At 40.6% G+C, this 24,009-nt stretch overlaps 1 protein-coding gene and 1 long non-coding RNA gene across 3 annotated transcripts, besides 1 other annotated feature; both read left to right on the top strand.

Annotated features, from left to right (window-relative positions):
- Positions 1 to 5,337: 5,337 nt before the first annotated feature.
- On the top strand, positions 5,338 to 6,929 carry LOC101929863 (uncharacterized). Of its 2 annotated transcripts, none has more exons than XR_936751.3 (3): positions 5,338 to 5,550; positions 5,693 to 5,850; positions 6,470 to 6,929. It is a non-coding gene; the product is annotated as an uncharacterized LOC101929863 (long non-coding RNA). The 2 variants fall into 2 exon arrangements; XR_430321.4 differs by having other exon boundaries at positions 5,338 to 5,554.
- Positions 5,465 to 5,524: an enhancer, noted in NCBI's record as "active region_17945". NCBI's record gives its function as "activates an Ori minimal core promoter by ATAC-STARR-seq in GM12878 lymphoblastoid cells {active_cell/tissue: GM12878}" and the evidence as "EXISTENCE:reporter gene assay evidence [ECO:0000049][PMID:35858748]".
- Positions 6,930 to 19,901: 12,972 nt separating the features above from the next.
- Positions 19,902 to 20,942, top strand: WFDC12 (WAP four-disulfide core domain 12). The gene is made up of 3 exons (NM_080869.2): positions 19,902 to 19,998; positions 20,102 to 20,260; positions 20,424 to 20,942. Exons 1-3 carry the CDS (start codon positions 19,920 to 19,922, stop codon positions 20,519 to 20,521), a joined length of 336 nt encoding a protein of 111 aa, NP_543145.1. The 5' UTR covers positions 19,902 to 19,919; the 3' UTR covers positions 20,522 to 20,942.
- The last annotated feature ends 3,067 nt before the right edge of the window (positions 20,943 to 24,009 follow it).

Raw genomic sequence — 24,009 nt, 5'->3', positions numbered from 1 at the left:
CTACTCAATGCAGGAAAAAAGAAACACACAAAGGAAAAAACCAAGAGACCATGAGAGTGATCACCTACAGGGTGTTGTCAGGAATGGTGTAGAAAGTAGAGAGAGAATGGAGATGGATACCTGATTCTTCTCTGAATATACCTTTATGCATAGACCTGACTCTGGAACCATGTTGGAAGTTTCACATACCCAAACAAATAATTAAGTGAATACATTCCATGGATCAGGGGAAAATTTATAATTGAGCACAAACTGTTTATATGTTTTTAAAAACGAAAACAAACAGAAGGTTGGAGACAGAGAAAGGCAGCCAAATAGAAGCCTCCATGGATCATCCCCCCTATAGGAACACCAAATATAACAACTACTTACACAAAAAGAATACCTTCATAAAAAACAGAAAATCAGGTGAGTAATCTCAATACCTGGATCTAACTTCATATCGCTGAAAGAGACACTGTAGAGGATATGAAAGAGTCTTGAATTGCTGACGCCAACCCCCTCCTCATCCCCCGGCAGAGGCTGCATGGCACAGAGAGAAAATACGTGCACTGGGAGAGGGAGAGCTCAGTGCTTGTGGGACTCTGCATTGGAACTCAGTGCTGTCAACACCAGAAATAACTCAGCCGATGCCCACGGAGGGCGCATTTAGATGACCCTTAGCCAGAGGACAATCACCCATTCCAGCAGTTGGAACTTGAGTTTTGGCAAGCCTCGCCACTGCAGGCTAAAGTGCTATGGGCTACTAAATAAACTTGAAAGGCCGTCTAGGCCACAAGGACTACAACTCCTGGACAAATCCTAGTGCTGTGCTGGGCTCAGAGGCCAGTGGACATGGGGTGCATGCGACCTAGTGAGGCACCAGCCTGGGCAGCTGAAGGAGTGCTTGCATCACCCTCCCTCAACCCCAGGCAGTGCAGCACACAGCTCTGAAAGAGATCCCTTTCTTCTGCTTGACAAGAGGAGAGGGACGAGTTAAGAGGACTTTGTCTTGCAACTTGGGTGCCAGCTCAGCCACAGTAGTATAGGGCACCAGGCAGAACTGTGAGGCCCCTGTGGCAGGCCCTAGCTCCTGTATGATATACAAAATCAATGTACAAAAGTAAGTAGCATTTCTGTACGCCAACAATGTCCAACCTGAGTGCCAAACTAAGAATGCAATCCCATTCACAATTGCCACAAAAATAAAATAAAATACCTAGGAATACAACTAACCAGAAAGGTAAAACATCTCTACTACAATTATGACAAAACACTGCTGAACGAAATCAGAGTTTACACAAACAGATGGAAAAACATTTCATACTCATGGAAAGAAAGAATCAATATTGTTAAAATGGCCATAATGCCCAAAGCAATTTACAGATTCAATGCTATTTCTATGAAACTACTGTGATGGTTAATACATAGTGTCAACTTGATTGGATTGAAGGATGCAAAGTATTGATCCTGGGTGTGTCTTTGAGGGTGTTGCCAAAGGAGATTAACATTTGATTAACATTTGAGTCAGTGGGCTAGGAAAGGCAGACCCACCCTTAATCTGGGTGGGCACCAACTAATCAGCTGCCTGTGTGGCTGTAATATAAAGCAGGCAGAAAAATGTGAAAAGACTAGACTGGCCTAGTCTCCCAGCCTACATCTTTCTCCCATGCTGGATGCTTCCTGCCTTTGAACATCAGACTCCAAGTTCTTTAGTTTTGGGACTTGGACTGGCTCTCCTTGCTCCTTAGCTCGCAGATGGCCTATTGTGGGACCTTGCAATCATGTGAGTTACTCCATATATATATATATATACATACCTCCTATTAGGTATGTCCCTCTAGAGAACCCTGACTAATACAGATTTTGGTACCAAGAGTGGTTCTAGAGGAACAGAATATTAAAAATGGAGTTCTTTCATTGGTTTGGGGTTTCTGGAGTTTGCTGCTTAATATGATTAGAACAAAAAATTCTAAGGACTCTAGTTCTAATAGTAGTATGGAGAACACTGATAGTCCTTGGCATTAACTGTTTAGAGAGTTATGCAAAATAAGCACATTTGACACTCCTGATTCACTGCTTGTGAGAGGCAAGGAGTTTAGTGACTCTATACATAATACCTTTGACCATATGTGGAGAACCAAGGAACATAATGAAGCTGGTTGGTTGCTCCTAAGTTCAGTGGACGAAGTGATGAAAGAAAATGATGAACTCAGGGATTCTATCTCCCAGCTTCAGAAGCAGATACTGAGTCTCAAATCTGCTAAGATTGCCCTGACTGAGAGTCTTATCTCCTTTAGAGAAAGAGCTGAAATTGTGGAAAAACAGACACAAGCTCTTATCATGTGAGTGGCTGACCTGCAACAAAAGGTGCATGCACAGCCTCGCCAGGTGTCATTGATTGGAAAAGAATGGGACCCTGCAACTTGGAATGGGGACATGTGGGAGGACCCTGATGAAGCTGAGGACACTGAGTTTGTAAACTCTGATGAACCTTTTTTTGCCAGAAGAAACAGCTTCCTCATCCCCAGTAGTGGCAACATCACCTCGCTGACCTGTGCTGCCATCAGCCTTTCCACCTTTGTCTGGGGAGATAAACCCTGTGCTGCCTGAGACAACAGTGATGGCCTCCCCTGAGGCAGTTGCCAGGCAAGATAATGTTGATTCTCCTCAGGAGCCACCCCCAACACCCCTGTTTGCTTCTAGAACTATAAGTAGACTAAAGTCCCAGCAGGCCCCTAGAGGTGAGGTTGAGAGTGTGACCCATGAGGAGATGCACTACACTCAAAAAGAATTGCTTGAGTTTTCTCATTTATATAAGCAGAAATCTGGAGAACAGGCATGGACATGGATATTAGGGGTGTGGGATAATGGTGGAAGGAACATAGAGTTGGATCAGGCTGAATTTCTTTATTTAGGCCCACTAAGTAGGGACTCTGCATTTAATGTTGCAGCTCAGGGAGTTTTAAAAGGTTCTAATAGTTTATTTGCTTGTTTAGCTGAAATATGGATTAAAAGATGGCCCACTGTGAATGAGCTGGAAATGCCTGATCTCCCTTGGCTTAATGTAGAGGAAGGGATCCAAAGGCTTAGGGAGATTGGGATGCTGGAGCGAATTAGTCACTTTAGACCTACTCATCCCAGCTGGGAGGGTCCAGAAGATACACCCTTGACCAATGCCTTGTGAAATCGATTTGTGAGGTCAGCACCCTCATCTTTGAAGAGCCCTGTATTTGCTCTTTTCTGTATGTCAGATCTAACAGTGGGAACCGCAGTCACTTAACTACAAAACTTAAATACAATGGGAATAACTGAAGCCCGAGGTGGCAGGAGCCAAGTGGCAGCACTCAACTGTCAAAGGCAAGGTGGGTGTAGCTACCATAATGGAAAGCAGAGGCAAAGCAGCAATCAGTCTGACTCATGTAGAGCTCTGGCACTGGCTAATTAATCCTAGTGTTCCTAAAAAGTGAAATTGATAGGAGGCCTACTGCATTCCTATTTAATTTATACAAGCATAAAACTTCTAGGTCGAATGGACAAAAGACTAATTTGAATTATAAAAGCAGAGAATCATGGCCCCTCAATCAATTTCCAGACTTGAACCAGTTTACAGACCCAGAACCCCTTGAATGAAGGGGAGGCCAGGGCCCCTTGAGGAAAGACCCCACTACCCTATGACCAATTTATGCAGTGAATCTTTTTCCCATCCTTTCCCAAGGAGACCTCTGGCTTTTTACCAGGGGAACTGTGTACTGGGGAAAGGGAAATGATCAGACATTTCAGGGACTACTGGACACTGGCTCTGAGCTGACGTTGATTCCAGGGGACCCAAAACATCATTGTGGTCCTCCAGGACCAAAAGTAAGGGCTTATGGAGATCAGGTAATTAACGGAGTTTTGGCTCAGGTCCAACTTATAGTGGGTCCAGTGGGCCCCTGGACTCATCCTGTGGTCATTTCCCCAGTGCCAGAATGCGTAATTGGCATAGCCATACTTAACAGCTGGCAGAACCCCCACATTGGCTCCCTGACTGGTAGGGTGAGGGCTATTATGGTGGGAAAGGCCAGTGGAAGCCATTAGAGCTACCTCTACCTAGGAAAATGGTAAATCAAAAACAATACCACATCCCTGGAGGGATTACCGAGATTAGCGCCACTTTCAAGGACTTGAAAGACCCAAGAGTGGTGATTCCCTCTACGTCCCCGATCAACTCTCCCACTTGGCCTGGGCAGAACACAGATGGATCTTAAAGACTGACAGTGGATTATCATAAGCTTAACCAAGTGGTGACGCCAATTGCAGCTGCTGTACCAGATATGGTTTCATTGCTTGAGCAAATTAACACATTTCCTGGTACCTGGTGTACAGCCATTGACTTGGCAAATGCCTTTTCCTCCATTCCTGTCCATAAGGCCCACCAGAAGCAATTTGCCTTCAGCTGGCAAGGCCAGCAATATACCTTTACTGTCCTACCTCAAAGATATATCAACTTTCCAGCTTTGTGTCATAAAACAGCAAAAAGACACACAGCTAGGAGGTAACCACAGATTGCACTAGAAAGAGAGGAAAGGATGATGATGATGATGTTGATGATAGACAGATGATAGATAGATAGATAGATAGATAGATAGATAGATAGATAGACAGATAGATAGATAGATAGAACACCTGCTTCAGAGAGCTTTTTCCTCAGTATTTCTCTACCTTCCACATCAGGTACCAATTTTCCTGTGTGCACTCATAACCCATTTCTCACCATTACTGATAGCTATGTTCTCAGCCACCAAGTGAGTAGGTACATCACACACTTTTACAGGAGTGCAGAGAGGCAGAACGGTTATTTAGCCTAGGGGTCACATTACAAAATAACCTAGTTAGACTTTTAATTTTATCAACAAATAAAGTTTTTGCAGAGTCATGGCAACATAAAGACAGGAGTTAAAGGAGCAAACACTAATAACGCAACTGAAACTTATTTCTCTGTAGTTCATAATGCATTTATATTTTCTATGAATCTAGAAATTATCTTACTGATAGCACAATATCTAGCTTTGTGTGTGTTTCAACTTCGATGTGGTACCCCAAACGCACCCATATGTGAACACCGCTGGGAGGGGTGGGTTTCAATTGTTCTGGATACACACTGGGACGAGGGGAGTTGGTCAGACCTGATACAAGCCTGGGGAAAGACAATGCCCTCCTATTGCCTCAAAAGCCGCTGGATAAAGTCAGAATAAGGAAGAGCCAGGGCAGCCCTGCAACACCCTGAAGAAAGGCAGTCCACGAGGGCTCTCATAAATTATACCGCACAAATGGTTTCACGTTATCTCTTCCTGGAGGTGAAAGGAAACAGCTGATGGTTCCGGGTCAAGTTGAGGCACCTCTGACCTCCAGCCCCCAGAGCCACAGCGCCGCCTGCTGGTGGAGCCCCGCCAGAACTGACATAGACTCGTCCAGCCTCCAGGTGCACCCACGCCCTTTTCTTGCACCAAGAAGCTGAGCAGCCTCTCTCTACTCTCTGTGACCGTCCTCTTTGGCCTCCGCATGGTTCAGCCTGGAATCCTGAAGAGTGTGAGTGAGTAAGGCGTGACAATCCTGGGTGTGGGTGGGGTTAGGGAACATTTCCTCTGAGGAATCCGTGGAACGAGCTGGCCCTGATACCTGGAAGTGACTTATGGTTGCCCTCGACTCACCCTGTGGCATCTTTCTCCAGCTGCACCGAAACCTGGATATTGCCCAGAGTTTACTCTATCCTGCCCTTTCACCCTCTTACCTGTGTGCTGCACTATAAAGCCTGCCTGGGGATCGAGAAGTATTGCTTCTTCAACTGTCAACATCAGTGTACAGAGCTTTGGTGGACTTTGGATTGAGGTAAGGAGCCCCAGATCTGCCCTTCTCGGCTGCGCCTGAAACCTTCCTGCAGAAGCATTCATCTTAGAAGGAGTTGATAACTGCCCATGCCCCTGGAAATCATTGAGATCAGATCTTTCAAGTTGGGTTGGCCCACAGATCTGCCTCGGAACAGTGAAGCGGGTGGCTCAATAGACCTCCTTGCTCAGGATATGCACTGTCCATTTCACATAAGGGGCATCACCCTTCTCTTCTGTATGAAGGGGACATTTGGACAAGATAATCTCTAAGTTGCTCAAGGGTTATTGAATTTTTATTGTTATTATTTTAGTTTTTCACGATACCTTTCACAGCACCTTTCTCTTCATATTTAAATTGTAAGGTCAGGGATTATAAATTCATTATTCCTTAGGATGGCTTGCCTAGAGTCCCTGATCCCCAGTCCCTGATTCTGGGGCAGCATATCTCAGTTTTCTGTGAAGGAGAGTACTTAGCAGGATTTCTGCCACAGTGCCCCAGGACACAAATTCATGTCTCCTGCAATGCCATGTCACCTGGCATTGACAAAGTACCAGCCAGGCTGAACCTTCCCTGAACCTTTTCACCTTCCTACATCCCTGATTCTCTCTTCTCTCTCGAGGTGGAAACTCCTTAGCCAAGCCTGAGGAGACGCTGGTGCTACAGGCTCTGATTTGGATAACTGGTCTCCAATTTGTCCATGATCTTCCCAGGCCCAAGATGTCATTTCAGAGTTAAATGCTTGTTAATATGACAAGAAGACAAAGAGATAAAGCATTGTATATTTAAAACCACAGAAAAATCTGTAAGACTGCTGGATCTCCTCTCTCTCTCCCTGTCTCTCTCTCCATCCTTTATGGCTTTTCCCTTAGGATCTGAAAAAAGGATATGATTAATATTTCACATTTAGTTAAGGACCACAAAGGTAGTAGAAGTCTGGACAAGTCTTCCAAAATTTTATTTGTAACTATTATAAACAAATTTTGAAAAGCCAATTATTCCCTAGCATGCTTTAAGTTGACATCTAACATTTTTATCATAATTGCATAATAGTTACAAAGAATAAACTTTTAAGAATATGATGAATATTGTCCTTTCATTTAAAAAGCAACCTTAATCTTTTTAATGTTTCTAACGGAATTTAATCATCTTGACTTGATAGTAATAACTATTAAGGAAAAAAAAAGCATGTTCTTTTCTCCCATCTTCTTCCTCTTCTTCTCCCTTTTTTCAACATTTCCTGAACTATTCAAACCAAAACTATAGGTGAGTAGGTTTGTTTAGGACTCACTCTGAAAAGCAGATACCTAGACAGGATTAGGTAATCAAGAGTGTGTGTCAGGGAAAATGCCTGTGAGGGACAAAGGGAGGTAGCCAAAGTGGCAAGGAGAGCATGAGACCATGATGCAGGGCTGCCTGCTCTGAGGGAGGAGAGAAGGAAGGAGGAAGAGTCTCAGAATGAATTACAACATTGGTAAAGTGCCAGTCAGGCTGAAAGACAACGCTTGAACTGAAGTCACCTATCAGAAGAGGCCCAGGTCTCAGAATGAGCCTGCCTTAGTGTTCGGGCCTCACTCAGTCATTGGCTGGGAGTAACCTGATGGAAGCATCCATGACTTCTGCACAGACATAGTGGCAGATGCAGAGGACAGTAGCTGGGGGCATCCATCAGTTGCACACCCTGAAGCAGCAGGAGATCTAAGCAGTGCATTTCCATGCTCACCACTGTCCTCTACCTTGTGTTGCAGTTACTTCTCCAGGTATGGTGATGAAGGCTAGTTATCCCAGCTACTTGGGAGGCTGACGTGGGAGGATGGCTTGAGCCTGGAAGTCAGAGGTTGCAGTAAGGGGAGACCGCACCTCTGCATTCCAACCTGGGCGACAGAGCTAGACCCTGTCGCAAAAAAAAAAAAAAAAGAAAGAAAGAAAGAAAAAAAGAAAAAAGAAAGCTGGTTAATGTCAACTTGTTGAGTTTTTCATCTTGGCTGTCAGGGTCTAATCTATCATAGATGCTTCCCAGCAGGTGTTAATATGTAATACACAAGTCTTCACAGTAAATGTCTCCTCACATTTTGGTCCTCTTTCCCTACCACAGACATCCTTGCTACTGATTTTCTAGTCCTTTGCCTTCCAAGCTCCTTTTTAAAAAATTGGGTTTTAATATTATTTAGGTATTTAATATTATTTAGGTATGACAAAGCGAACATATCAGGAGATTACTGCCTTTTAAAAGAGAGTTTGTTATACTCACATATCTCAAAGGAGAGCCACACCTTGCCATGGGAAGGGTAGGGCAGGGGGGCACATAGAAAGCACCTTTTTCAGTCAAGAGATAGAGGGAGTGAGGGAGAAATGTGGGCAAACCTTTTCTGTGGTTCCTGCAAGAAGGAGCAGGTGAGGCAGGGTAAGTGTCTCAAGATTGGCCAGTTTGAATAATTTCAGTGATCTCTGAGGCAAAAGTACTGTCCCTAGCTGTCTCTGAGCCAGTACCATGATGTTCCCTATGGCCCCAAACCCTAGTAGACCCAGGGTCCAGCCTATCTCAGTAGACCGCAGCACTAGACTGGCCCCCAGAGACTCAGGCTCCAGGCTAGCCCCTATGGCCAGGACCCAGGACAACCCTTGTGAACCTAGCCTCCAGGCCAGCACCCACACACCCAGCCCCCAAGGTCAGCCCCAGTAAACTCAGGCTCCAGGCAGGTCCCCACAGACCCGGGCTCTAAGCCAGCACACACGTCTCCAGGAAACTGGCCAGCATCTGCAATGCCAGGATCCAGACAAGCCCCTGCAGACCCAGGAACTACAACTGCCACAACATGAGGCCAAACCCAGACTCTAGACCAGACTCTGTGTTCTCAGAGTCCAGAAGACAAAGGGTCCAGGATTGCCCTAACAGACCCAGGATCCAGGCCCATCCCAGTAGACCCAAATACCAGGCCAGTTCCCCATGCACTGAGGATCCAGTACCATCCCTGAAGACCCATGCTCAAGGTCAGACACCATGGACCCAGGACCCAGGCCCGGCCCCTTGGACTAAGGCTACAGGCCTGCTCCAGTAGACCCACGTTTCAGGCTCATCTCAGTACTTGGCCAGCCCTTTCAGACTCAGGCTCAAGGGCCACCCCAAGAGCAAGCCAGCCCCCATGGACCCAGGCTTCAGGCTAGCTCCTGTGAATACAGATTCCAGGCCCAACCCCACCCAGGTAACACGTCCACCCACCTGCTGACCCAGGCACCAGGCTAGGCTGCCCAAGCACTCAAACCTGCCCAAAGACCACACTCAATGGTCTCCCCAGAATCTCTGGACAGATTGACTGGGGAAGGGCTCTCCCAGACAAAGTCAGTCTGAAAAGCCTGGAATAAGTCCCTACTTCTTCAAATGCACAGATAGTAACATAAGGGAACAAGAAATATGAAAAATTAAAGAGATATAATGCCACCAAAAGAACACAATAATCTCCTAATAACTGACCTCAAAGAAGTGGAGAAATATAATACTGTCTGACAAGGGATTCAAACTAATTATTCTTAGGAAGCTTGATGAACTTCAAAAAATAATACTAATACAGAGAAATAATTCATGAAATCAGAAAAAGTAAATAAGAAATTTAATAGAGAGAGTAAAGCCATTTTTTAAAAGATCAAACAGACATTCTGCAGCTGAAAAATGCAATGAATGAAATTAAAAATTCAATAAAGAGCATCAGCAGCAGAATTGATCAAGCAGAAGAAAAAACCTGTAAACTCAAAGAAAAGTTATTTTAGAATATACACTCAAATGAGAAAAAAGAAAAAAAATGAAGAGTAGTGAAGAAAGATTATGAAATATCTAGGACAGCATCAAAAGAGCAAATATTCGAGTTATGGGATTTTAAGAAGAAGAGACAAAAAGGGGTAGAAAGCTTATTTAAATAAATAATAGCAGAAAACTTTCCAAATCTGGGAAAGGACATAAATATATAGGTATAGGAAGGTCAAAAGCTTTCAATAAAATTTAAACCAAACAACACTACAACAAGATAGATTACAATCAGTCTGTCAAAAATCAAAAGCAGAGAGAGGATCCTAAAAGCAGCAAGCAAAAGCACTTCACATAAGGGAATTCCAATAAGGCTAACAGTGAACTTTGCAGCAGAAACTTTAAAGACCAGGAAAGTGGAATGATATATTCACAGTGCTGAAGGAAAAAAAGTAACTGTCCTTCAGGAATGAAAGAGAAACTAAAATTGTCCAGACAAACAAAAGCTGGAGGACTTTATTGTCAAGAGACTAGTATTACAAAAAATGCTAAAGGAAGTTCATCAAGCAGAAAGAAAAAGATTTTAATAAGTAAGATGAAAACATACGAAAGTATAAAACTCACTAATAAAAGTAAGTACATAGTCAAATTCAGAATACTCTAATACTATAATGGTGGCGTGTAAATCAAATATTTTTAGTATTAAGGGTAAAACACAAAACTATTAAAAATAATAAAAGCTACAATAACTTGTCAAAGAGCACACAATATAAAAAGATGTAAGTTGTAACATTAAAAATTTTTAATGTGGGAGCCAGGGACAGTAGCTCATGCCTATAATCCCAGCTACTCAGGAGACTGAAGCAGGAAAATCACTTGAGCCCAGGACTTTGAGACAAGCCTGGGCAATGTAGCAAGACCCCATCTTTTAAAAAGCTGGGACAGGGTGGAATCAAAGTGTAGAGTTTTCATATGATCAAAGTTAAGTTATCGGTTTGAAGAAGACACAGTAAATACAAATATTATTTTATGTTTATGGATTAAAGAATTTATATTGTTAAAATGTCCATACTACTCAAAGCAATCTACAGATTCAATGAAATGCCTATCAAAATTCCAAGGATATTTTCATAGAACTAGAAATAAAAGGCCCTAAAATTTACAGGGAACCACAAAAGACCTTTCGTTAAAGACTGCTTTAACAAAGCAATCTTGAGCAAAAGTGACAATTTTTTTTGTCAGGAGGCATCACACTACCTGATTTCAAAATACACTACAAAGCCATAGTAATCAAAATAAGATGGTACTGGCATAAAAATAGACACATAGGCCAATAGAACAAACAAAATAGACATCCCAGAAATAAATCCATGCATTTACAGTCAACTGAGTTTTGACAAAGATGCCAAAAATACACAATGGGGAAGAGACAGTCTCTTCAGTAATAATGTTGGCAAAGCTGGATATCCATATGCAGAAGACTAAAATTGGACCCTTATCACACACCACATGTAAAAATCAACAAAGTGGGTTAAAGACTTAAAGACTTGAAACTGTAAAGCTACTAGAAAAAAATATAGTGGGAAAGGTCCACAGCATTGGTCTGGGCAATTATATTTTGGATATGGCCCCAAAAATATAGGCAATAAGAGCAAAAATAGACAAATGAAATTACATCAAACTAACAAGCTTCTGCACAAAAAAGGAAACAACAGATTGAAGAGACAACTTATGAAGTGGGAGAAATTATTTGCAAACCATGCATCTGATAGGGGATTAATATCTAAAATATATAAGAAACTCAGACAACTCAATAGAAAAAATATAACCCAATTAAGGAGTGAATAAAGAATCTGAATAGATATTTTCAATAGAATACATACAAATAACCCATAAGTATATTTGAAAACGATCAACATCACTGATCATCAGAAAATGCAAACAAACCACAATGATATTGTTTGATACCTGTTAGAATGGCTACTATATAAAAGACAAAAGATAAATGCTGGCAAGGATGTGGAGAAAAGGGGAGCCTTTGCACACTACTGGTGGGAATGTAAATTTTTACAGTCATTATGGAAAATACTATGGAAGTTCTTCAAATAATTAAAAATAGAACTAAAATATAATCCAGCAATCCCACTACTAGTTACATATCCAAAGGAATTAAAATCAGTATTTTGAAGAGATATCTGCACTTCCATGTTCATTGCAGTATTTTTCACAATAGCTAAAATATGGAATCAACATAAGCATGCAAAAATGGATGAATAGATCAAGAGAATGTATATATACACAATGAAATACTCTTTAGCCTTAAAAAAAGAACAAAACTTTGTCATATGTTACAAATGGATGAACCTGGATGGCATTATGTTAAATGAAATAAGCTAGGCACAGAAAGACACATTCTGCATGATCTCACTTATATGTGGAATCTAAAAAGTTGAACTCATAAAAGAAGAGAATAGATTGTGATTAGCAGGGGCTGGGGGGAAGGGGAGTGTGGGGAGATGTTGGTCAAAGAATACAAAATTTCAGTTAGATAGGAAGAATAAATTCAAGATATCAATTGTACAGCATGATGAATATGGTTAATAACAATATTGTGTACTTTTGAAAACTGCTAAGATAGTAGATTTTAAGTATTCTCATTATGATGGTAAAACTTGAGTTGGGGCTATTAGAGGACAAGAATGTATCAGTGTTAATTTCCTGATGTTCATGGTTGTATTGTGGTCACAACAGAGGATATCTTTGAGGGAAATACACATTAAGGTATCAGGAGTGATGGAAAATAATTTTGACAATTTTCTCTCGACTAAAGAAAATCACAGATACATACGTCATTACAAACTGTGGCAAATTTGAGTACAAATATAAATAAACTATGCATAAAACTATCTGCTCTGAGAAAAATTAAAAGGGAGGGTGAAAAAGACTTCTTTGATGTAGCATCATGGAAGCTGAGACTTGAAGAATATGAAAAACTTAGCCAAGTTGTGGTCAAAGAGCAAGAGGTGAAGAAGAAGACATGTTCCAGCAAAGGGACCTGTATTTACAGAAGCCTTGAGATGGAATAGAATATGATAAAGTCAAACAGCAAACACTCAAGAACTAATATGTGTTTTATGTGATCATTCTGGAGAATGTGTGGTTTGTCAGTGGGAAGACGAGTTATCAAGTTATTTCTGTGACCCAGATAAGAAATACTGCAATAGCTTGGATTAGGACAGAGAGTCCCAACCTTGGCACTATTGACATTGGGGATGGACAATTTTTTTGTTGTGGGAGGCTGTCTGGTACGTTCTGGGATGTTTACCAACATCCTTGATCACTCCCATGTTTACTGCAGTATTATTCACAATGGCCAGGAGGTGGAAACAAACTAAAAGTTTATTGACAGGTGAATGCGGTAAAGAAAATGTGGTATTTACATATCATGGAATTTGAATAGCCAAAAAAGAGGGAAATCTTTTCATTATGCTACAACGTGGATGAACCTTGAAGACACTATGCTAAGCAAAATAAGCCAGTCACAGAAGGACAACTATTTCACAGTTCCACTTTTATAATCTTACGTGAGTTGTCTAAAGTAGTCAAACTTATTTAAGCAAAAAGTATGATGGTGGTTTCCAAGGGTTTCAGGAAGGGGGAAATGGGGGATTGTTGTTCAGTGGGTAAAGTTTCAGTTATGCAAGATGAAAAAGTTCTAGAGATCTGCTGTACAACATAGTGCCTAGAGTTAATATGGTACTACACACTTAAAAAGGTGTTACGAGGGTAGATCTCATGCTAAGTGTTCTTACCACAAGAAAATAATTTTTTTAAATCCAAATTTAAATTTTTCAGAAATTTAAGAAAATTATATAATACACAATTTAGAATACAAATGTAAGAACATTAATAATACATCAGAATGTTATTTAGAAACATGGAGATAAATATTAGAAACAGCTAGAAGAGCTAAAAGTGTTTACCTCTGGTATCAGGACCTCTGGGTATCAGGAATCAAGGTAAATAGGAGCAATGTAGGAGATTCCCATTGTAAACCTGGTTTTACACTTTACATTTTATACTGTGTACATATATTATTGTGATAATACTTTAAATAGAATTTCATATCTTTAAAACTAGGGAAAAAGTAGCTAAAGAATAGGCATAACTTCTTCCTGGTTGATCTTCCTTTAAGGAAGCATTTGCACCTTTGTCTGGCTCAGTGGAAGGTGGAGAAGGGGTTCAGATGATCATTTCCTGATTTTTAGGCATTAAATATTTTGGGATCCCACAATTTCTAACAAGGGCATTAATTCAGCTTATACTATTCAGTCAGGCACACTGTCAAGGCAAAGATTACTGTGATGTCACCTCTCATTAATATAAAGATATACACACACACAGACACACACACACACACACACACCCACGAGTCTCTCCTGCTGAAGCAAGTGCTTTAACAAGCAGAATATGTTCATACATGGTAGATAAATAAGGAATTAAATCACTAACATGTAAAATTGGGTTAATACAGTTTTTCATAAGGTGACTATGCCTTGTCCTGTCATATAAAACAAATCGAATGCAAAAATATTGAACATGGTATCTCTTGAGTGACACACAAAATAACAAACACTTCATCTCCTCCCTCTTATCTCAGTTTACCTATAGTCATTGCCCTACCAAGTGCGTGATGTGCTGTTATCCTGAGTTCTATCCTCTTCTTGATAGAAGTATTTAATACTGTGTTCAATGTCCTGGAAACAAGAATCTGAAACATGATTTTAAAAGAAATGCCTGAAGGCCAGGCATTGTGGCTCATGCCTGTATTCCCAGCACTTTGGGAGGCTGACGGGGGTGGATCACCTGAGATCAGGAGTTTGAGAGCAGACTAGCCAAGATGGTGAAACCCCATCTCTACTAAAAATACAAAAGTTAGCCAGCTTGTAGCCCCAGCTACTTGGGAGCTTGAGGCAGGAGAATCTCTTGAACCCAGGAAGCAGAGGTTGCAGTGAGCAGAGATTGCACCACTGCACTCCAGCCTGGGTGACAAAGGGAGACTCCATCTAAAAAAATAAATTAATAAAAATGTAAAAATAAATAAATAAAAGAAATGTCTTAAATACTGAGAAGTTTGAAATAATAAAATATTTTTGAATAAATGAGAGCATATGCTATTCACCACAGCAATAAGCTAAATGTTGCACTCCGTCAGAGATGAGACCGCTAGTGAGCCTAACACATCAGTTACTATCAGCTTCAAGTGATATTGATAAACAATTGTAGTGGATTAAAGGTCAAGTTTTTTTGTTTTGTTTTGTTTTTTGTTTTTTTGAGACAAAGTCTCGCTCTGTTGTCCAGGCTGGAGTGCAGTGGTGTGATCTCAGCTCGCTGCAACCTCTGCCTCCTGGATTCAAATGATTCTCATGCCTCAGCCTCCCAAGTAGCTGGGATTACAGGCATGTACTACCACACCCAGCTAATTTTTGTATTTTCAGTGGAGACAGTGTTTCACCATGTTGGCTGGCTTGTCTTGAACTCCTGACCTCAAGTGATCCGCCCGGCTTGGCCTCCCAAAGTTCTGGGAGTACAGGCGTGAGCCACCACGCCCAGCCAAAGATCAAGATTTTAATGTCAAGAGCATCAGCATAGAACTTTGCAGTTATCCAGTTTCATTTAGAGTTATACAGCTTCCTTACAAAAGGGAGGAACTGGCAAATCAACGAAGCGGATTGCTGTTTTAAGCCAGTACAGAAGTAAAAGATTGACGACAATGACCCTCCAGTATAACAACATTTAGTCCCAAGAATGATGATGTCCTTCATTCCACCTTTTGTACATACCTCAAAAGCCACAGTATTTCACCATACCCACTTACCAAGCAAACTCCCCATCTTTTGTCAAAGTAAAGTGCTACATTTACTACATAATTTCTTTATTAGGAACTGAAGATGTTTAACACTGTGGTCATGTTTTTATTGGGTGTGGGTTCTGTTTGTTTGATGTATTACTTATGAGACTGCACAAATATTGAATGTTCTACTTCAACTCTATTTTTTCCAGAAGCCCTATTATTTGTAGTGAGCAAAACTCTGTAACCTAATGATTTTCAGGAATATATATTCCACGTTTATGAGAAATATATCTTCCCTTTCATTCCCTGTCTTAGACTCCGCCATTTTGGTTCAAGGCTTTCCACTTTCTTGAAGCACATAAATAAATGATGCCCAAAAAAGACAATGAATGTGAAATCTGGTTAATGTAATTCACAAAATAACAGATTGAAGAGACAATCCATATATTTATTTCAATTGATGAAGAAAAGGCATTTGATAAAAATTCAACATCCTTTCATGAGAAAAACTCTTAGCTAACTAGAATTAAAAGGGAACTTTATTAACCTGATTCAGCAGAACATGGGATGAATTCCACAAGGTCACATGGCATGGGCTAAGGAATGCCTTTACTGGGTGAAACCAGTGAGCCAAGGATCAGCACTCCTAAGCATGGGATACTCCCAGCAGACACTCCCATCATTACTCGCTTCAGCCTACATTGAGGTGTTCTGAGGCCATGCACAGCTATTAGTCAGTGAGGCAGGACAGCAGCGTTTCTCAACATCAATACTATTGGCACTTGGAGACAGATCATTGTTTGTTGTGAAAAGCTGTCTTGTGCATTGTTAGATATTTAGCAGCAACCTCAGCCTCTAGACACTGGATGTGAGAAGCACATCTGTCCCAGTTGTGACAATCAAATATGTCTCCAGACATTGCCAAAGTCCCCTGGGGACAAAATAACCACCTTTTGAGAAGGTAGTTTACTACTACAAAACAGGAACATTGTCCCCTGCAATTTTACCTTCTTATAATATGAATATGAGAAGTTCCTTATGGGGCTTGCTTCCTAGACAGTCTAGGTTTCTAGGAAACCTAAATGTAAGCCTAAATGTATTTATATATATACATATATAAACATATTTTTGCTATGTATATATGTATATATATATGTAAACATATTTTTGCTATTGAGTTGCAGTTCTTTATATATTTTGAAAATTAACCCCTTATCTGGTAGGTAGTTTGCAAATATTTTTCCCATCTCACAGGTTGCCTTTATTACTAAATATTTTACATGTTATTGCTTTTAACGTATTACATTTTTCTAACCAATATTTCTAGTGTATAGAAAGCAGCTGACTTTTATATATTGATTTTTGTGTCAGCTAATCTTGAAAAATTGTCTAACTCATGATGTATCTGTAGTTTCTTTTGTGTTTTTATTATTGCATCATTTGCAAACAATGGCTTTTCTCGTCTCCCATTCTAATACTTATTTCTTTTCTTTTTCATTATATATATGTGTGTGTACATATGCATATATATATATATATACACACACATATAAATATAAAGACCCAATTAAAAGTGAATAAGACTTAAACAGACATTTCTCCAAAGAAGATATACAAATGGCCAACAGGTATGTGAAAAGATACTCAACATGTCTAATCATCAGGAAAATGAAAATCAAACCATAAGATCACCTCATACCTGTTAGGATGGCTTTTATTTTAAAAAGAAAAGAAAAAGAAAACAAGTACCGGTGAGAATGTGGAGAATTTGGAACCCTTGTGCACTGTCAGTGAGAATTTAAAGGAGTATAGCCACTACGGAAAACAGTATGGAAGTTCTTCAAAAAATTAAAAATAGAGCTATCACATGATCCAGCAATCCCCCTTCTGGGTATTTATCCAAAAGAATTTAAATCAGGATCCCAAAGAGATATTTGCACCTGCAAGTTCATTGCTGCAATATTCACAATAGCCAAGAAATGGAAACCTAAATGTGCATTGACCCATTGACAGATAAATGAGGGAAGGAAAAAGATTATATACATGTACATATATATGCATACCATGGAATATTATTCAGCCATAAAAAAGAAGAAAAGTCTATCTCATGCTACAACATGGGTGAACCTCAAGGACATTATGCTAAGCAAAATAAGCCAGTCACAAAAGGACAAATATGGCATAATTCCACTTTTATGAAGTGTCTAAAGTAGTCACTTATAGAAGCAGAAAACAGAATGGTGGTTCCAAGGGTCTGGGGGTGGGGGGAATAGGGAGTTGCTATTCAGTGGGTTTCAGTCATGCAAGATGAAAAAGTTCTAGAGACCTACTGTATGACACTGTGCCCACAATTAACAATACTGTTAGTATGCACTTAAAAATATGTTAAGAGGTCATGTCTTATAGTATATATTTCTTACCACAATTTTTTAAAAAAACACGGTGTTGAGCAAAGCATGCAAAATACAAAAGAATACTTAGGCCATAATTACGCTTACACGAAATTAAACAACACGTATCACTAAGCAAGCCATAGCAAGAGAGCAAAACTTTAAAGGAAAACATGAGGATGATTAACAGAAAGTTCAAGATAGTGGTTACCTCTGAAGTAGGGATGGTAATGTCCTATTCTAAATTGATAGGTTCATAGGTGTTTATTATTCTTTTTCAAAAGGTATAGAATGTTGATTACATTCTTTCATATGTAGGATTTATTTTACAATACTTTTTTTAAAGAAGTATCATCAACAGTCAATTACAAATGACATTTTGGGGAGAACCGGAGAAACAAATATGAACTGGCTATGAGATGACATGCAGAAACTATTAATTATCTTAGATATGATAATGGCTTTGTGATTATATTGAAGAATATCCTTATTCTTAGAATTTGCATGCTGATGTATTTAGGAAATAGGAACATAATGTATTCAATTTCATTTCAAATATTTCAACAAATGTAGCTATAGGTATTCTAAAATATCCCAAACTATTAATAATTGTTAAATCCAGTTGTAGGTATACAAGTATCATTGTTCTGTTATTTCAATTTTTCTGTATGTTTAAAAAGTTCATAATAAAAAGGTGGAGGAGGAAATAGCCAATACATTCCAACATTCTAGTATTTGTTTATGAACTTCCCAGATTCCATCCCTGGTATCCAAATGATCTGAGTCCAGTGATATGACTGGTGAGATTGTAACCAAAGATTCACCACCTAATAAGGAGTAGGCTCACTTCCAGGAATGGAGGTATCCTCCCTGCCTCCACTTAACCCCAACTCAGTCCCTTCCACACTTCAGGATGTGGAACACCCCAAACCCAAATCTTTGCATTACTCAGGGGTCCTGTTAGTAAATGACAGAAATCCAATTCAGACCAGCTTAGGCAGAAAGGTGAATGTATTGGGTGGTAACATAACCCTGGGTATGAGTGGGGCTGATCTCAGGAAAAAGTTTAGTGAAGGACTAGATATCCTCTAAATTACTCCCTGTCCATCTCTCATCTCTTTTTATCAGCATCTTAGATTTATCTTCTCAGAATTTCTCTCTCACCAGGGCCAGGACCAAATTTCTGGAGTTTCTGGGCTTATATCTGCAACTTTTCCAACAGGAAGGATTTTCCTCCCTTTAGTACTCATTCAAAGAAAGGACCCCAAAAGCCTGGTCACACACACACACACACACACACACACACACACACGCACACACGTCCATGTCTTCTTCCAAATCCAGGAATTTGGGGGATGCAGGGGCAGAGGAGGGAAAACAAATCCTATGAAGATGATACAGTATAATTATTATGCTCATTGTATGAATGAGGAAACGGAGGCTTAGAAAGGTGAAGCTGCTTTCAAAGTCACACAGCTGGTGACAGGTCCAAAATCTGCTTTCCTCCAGGCCACATGAGATTGGCGGGGGGCAGGAGCACACGGTGCTGGAGCGCAAGGCTGAGAGTGAATGTTCAGGACAGACATTTTAAGCACTGCCATTCAGATTCTTCCTTGGGGTGAGGTGAGAACTGAGAACAAGTCCGGGGCAGCACAGGAAGGAGGGAAGATTTTGGTCCCAGGTGAATCAGGCATGAAGAGGGACTGATAGAGAACACGGTGGAGTTGAGGAAGTCTGGCCCTGCCACTGCCTCGTGTGTGAACTTGAGTAATTTCATGCCCTTTCTGTGCTTCTTTTCCTCCTTCCATAAGATAGTTTGGCCCTGGTGGCGCCTAATGGTCAATCACGTGTCCATTTCTTCTCCTCGTGTGAAGAACGAGGGTCGCTCTTGGATTTCTTCATCTATTCCAGTGCAGAGCCTTAGGGAAAGCCCCAAGTCCCTCCTCAGAAGGGGCCATTTCCAAATAGAGCTGGGAAGTGCAGCCTCCCTTGCCATTTTGAGCCTTCAGCTCCACCCACTGGCATGCCCAGCAGGAACACTATAAAGCCAGGCTCAGCCCAGCTCCCAGCCAAGCACCTGCCTGGCAACATGGGGTCCAGCAGCTTCTTGGTCCTCATGGTGTCTCTCGTTCTTGTGACCCTGGTGGCTGTGGAAGGAGTTAAAGAGGGTGAGCAGACATGGTGGAGCTGGGTGGGGCTGGGCTGGGGAGAGGTCCTGAGGGGCCCTCTGGGGCTGGAGTTCTCATATCACCTTGTGGCTTCCTCCACTAGGTATAGAGAAAGCAGGGGTTTGCCCAGCTGACAACGTACGCTGCTTCAAGTCCGATCCTCCCCAGTGTCACACAGACCAGGACTGTCTGGGGGAAAGGAAGTGTTGTTACCTGCACTGTGGCTTCAAGTGTGTGATTCCTGTGAAGGAACTGGAAGAAGGTAAGGAGACCTGCCTCCCAGGGCTGGGGCTGTCCCTTCCCTGCCTCTATCTGACCCATGAAAGTTCGGAGGAATTAGTCCCTTTAGCTGGTGTGGGGAGGGATGGCTAAAGCTGGCAGGGCCCTCAGAGACCACCTAGTCTGAACATCTCCATTGTCCAAAGGAGGAAACAAGGATGAAGATGTGTCAAGGCCATACCCTGAGCCAGGATGGGAGGCCAAGTGTCCAGGCTCCTCCTCTACCAGGTGTCCTCAGAAATGATGCTGGGTCCTTTCTACCTCTGGGGGTCACTCTCACTTGGCACCTGCCCCTGAGGGTCCTGAGACTTGGAATATGGAAGAAGCAATACCCAACCCCACCAAAGAAAACCTGAGCTTGAAGTCCTTTTCCCCAAAAAGAGGGAAGAGTCACAAAAAGTCCAGACCCCAGGGACGGTACTTTCCCTCTCTACCTGGTGCTCCTCCCTAATGCTCATGAATGGACCCCTCATGAATGAAACCAGTGCCCTTATAAGAGACCCCAAAGAGCTGCCTTGCCCTTCTGCAATGTGTGATCACAGCTAGAAGGCACTGTCAGAGAAGAGAAACTGGTCCTCACCAGATGCTGAATCTGCTGGTGCCTTGATCTTGGACTTCCCAGCCTCTAGAACTGTAAGAAATAAATATTTGCTGTTTATAATCCACCCAGTCTATGGTAATTTGTTATAGCAGCCCAAACCTGCTAAGACAACCTAATAGTAAAAAAAAAAAATCCTATTCAACATTATCAAAGTGAATAAAATATAAAATACCTACAAATAAATCTAGAGATGTACAGAAATTTTCTGAAAGGAAACCCTAAAACTTTATTAAATGACATTTTAAAAGATCTGGATAAATAGACTAAACTTTTCTACAGAATAAATAAATAAATGTTTTTTAAAAGATATGCTCTTCCCCAAGCAGGAAGCCTCCTCAAAGTGTTCACCTTGGTCAGCATAATTTATACCTGAAATATAATTAAAATTAAAACCCACTGGGTTTTGCAAACCCTAATGAAATAATTGATTCTGGCAATGATTATCCATGGCTTCTGAATATTTACAGGGTGCCATTTCATCACCCTGTGGTATATTTACAGTTTGTAAGAGGGAAAACACAAGTTTACAACTTGAGGATTCAGGTACACACCGAAAACACATTAATCTGTCTCCACAATGCTAAAAATGGGTAAAGCGGACCTCCGTTCCTCCTGAGGTGATGCAACACAAAACACACAGCATCATTCAAGAAGGGCTCCTGCCAAGACAGTTGAGCATGAACCTCACCAAGCCTCTACAGCTAGCATTCATCTATGGGAAATGTGAAGGACAAAGAAGATGAAAGACATCACAGGGAAGCAACATGGGACATTCTAAAGAACAATTTGTCTGTTTTGTTCAACAAGTCAATAGCATGAAGAAGAAGAAGGAGGGAGGAAAGGAGAATAAAAAAGAGTTGGAGAGATTGTTCTAGATTAAAAGAAACTTCAGATACATTACAGCCAATGCAATATGTGCACCAACAACCATAGAGTCACTTTTGAGACAATAAGAAAAACAAGATGCAAATAGAATATTAGATGATGTTAAGAAACTGCAGTTAATTTTCTTAGGTGTAACAGTAGGATTGTCATTATGTGAGAAAGTGTCCTTAGTTTTTAGAGATGCACACTGAAGTATTTAAAGGTAAAGTATAAGATCGGTTGGATTTACTTTAAAATACTTCAGCCAAAAAAGGGGTGGGGATATGCATGAAGGAATTCTTGTAAAATGGTTCATTGTTGAATCTGGATGATGGGTATGTAGGCTCCATAAAAGTATTTGCTGTTCTTTTGTGCATTTTTGAAAACATTTTATGATAAAAACAAGGGTTTGTTTTTGCAACTTAACAAAATGATCATTAGGTTCACATGGAACAATAAAATACTTGTAACCTGGAAAATTGAAAATGTAGACTAATGAAGGGTAATGGATACCACCAGTCACTAAAACATATTATGGAGCTACAACAATTACAGCCACAATACAAGCATACCTTGTTTTATTGTGCTTTGCAGTCATTGCATTTTTTACAAATTGAAGGTTTGTGGCAACCCTGCACCAAGCAAGTACATTGGCTGCATGTTTCCTATAGCATGTGCTCACTATGTGTCTTTGTGTCACATTTTGGTAATATTCACAATATTTCAATTTTTTTCATTATCATTACATCTGTTATGTTGGTCTGTGATCAGTGATCTTTGATGATACTTTCCTAATTGTCTCAGGGTGCCATAAACTGTGCCCACATAAGACAGTGAATTTGATCGATAAATGTCACATATGTTCTGATTTCTCCCCCAACCGGCCATTCTCTGTTTCTCTCCCTTGGAACACAACAATGCTGAAATGAGGCCAATTAATCATCTTACAGTGGCCTTTAAGTGTTTAAGTGAAAAGAAGAGTCATGTCTCTCACTTTAAATCAAAAAAAGCTAGAAATGATTAACCTTAGTGAGGAAGGCATGTTTGAAAACCAAGAAAGGTCCAAAGCTAGGCCTCTTTTACCAGTTAGCCAAGTTATGAATGCAAAGGAAAAGTTATTGAAGGCAATTAAAACAGCTACTCCAGCAAACACACAAATGGTAAGTGAAACAGACTTATTGTTAATATGGAGAAAATGTTAGTGGTTTGGATAAAAAAATCAAAACAGCCACAGCATCCCCTTAGCCAAAGCCTAATCCAGAGCAAGGCCCTAACTTTTTTCAATTCTATGAAAGCTGAGAGGTGAGGAAGCTGCGTAAGAAAAGTTTGAAGATAGCAGAGGTCGGTTCACAAGATTTAAGGAAAGAAGCCATCTCCATAACATAAAAGTGTAAAGTAAAGCAGCAAGTGCTGATGGAGAAGCTGCAGCAAGTTCTCCAGAAGATCTACACAAGATAATTGAGGAAGGTGGCTACGCTACACAACAGATTTTCAATGTAGATGAAACAGTCTTTTATCGAAAGAAGAGGCCATTTAGGAATTTCATAGCTAGAGAGAAGTCAATGCTTGGCTTCAAAGCTTCAAAGGACAGGCTGACTCTCTTATTAGGGACTAGTGTATTTGGTGACTTTAAGTTAAAGCCAATGCTCATTTACTATTCCAAAAATCCTAGAGCCTTTAGGAATTATGCTAAATCTATTCTGCCTGTGCTCTATAAGTGGAACAACACAGCCTGGATGACAGCACATCCATTTACGGCATAGTTTACTGAATATTTTAAGCCCACCGTTAAGACCTACTGCTCACAAAAAAAAACAATTTCTACTTTCCTTTTGTAATATTTCTACTTATTGACAATGCATTTGATAGCCCAAGAGCTCTGACAGAGATGTACAAGACAATTAATATTTTCATGCCTGCTAACACAACATCTATTCTGCAAATCAAGGAGTAGTTTTAACTTTCAAGTTTTATTATTTAAGAAATACATCTCATAAGGCTATACATTATTTAAGAAATACATCTCATAGCTGCCACAGATGGTGATTCTTCTGATGGATCTGGGCAAAGTAAACTGAAAACCTTCTGGAAAGGGCTCACAGTCTAACTGCTATTAAGAACATTCATGATTCATGGGAGTAGGTCAAAATATCAACATGAATAGGAGTATGGAAGAAGTTGATTTCAACCCTCATGAATGACTTTGAGGGGTTCAAGACTTCAGTTGAGGAAGTCGTCACTGCAGATGTGGTGGAAATAGCAAAAGA

The sequence above is a fragment of the Homo sapiens genome, chromosome 20 (genome assembly GCF_000001405.40).
Source record: "Homo sapiens chromosome 20, GRCh38.p14 Primary Assembly".
NCBI classification, from domain to species: Eukaryota; Metazoa; Chordata; class Mammalia; order Primates; family Hominidae; genus Homo; species Homo sapiens.
The sequence above is the reverse complement of the archived record's forward strand: the minus strand, read 5'-3'. Positions and strand labels throughout refer to the sequence as shown.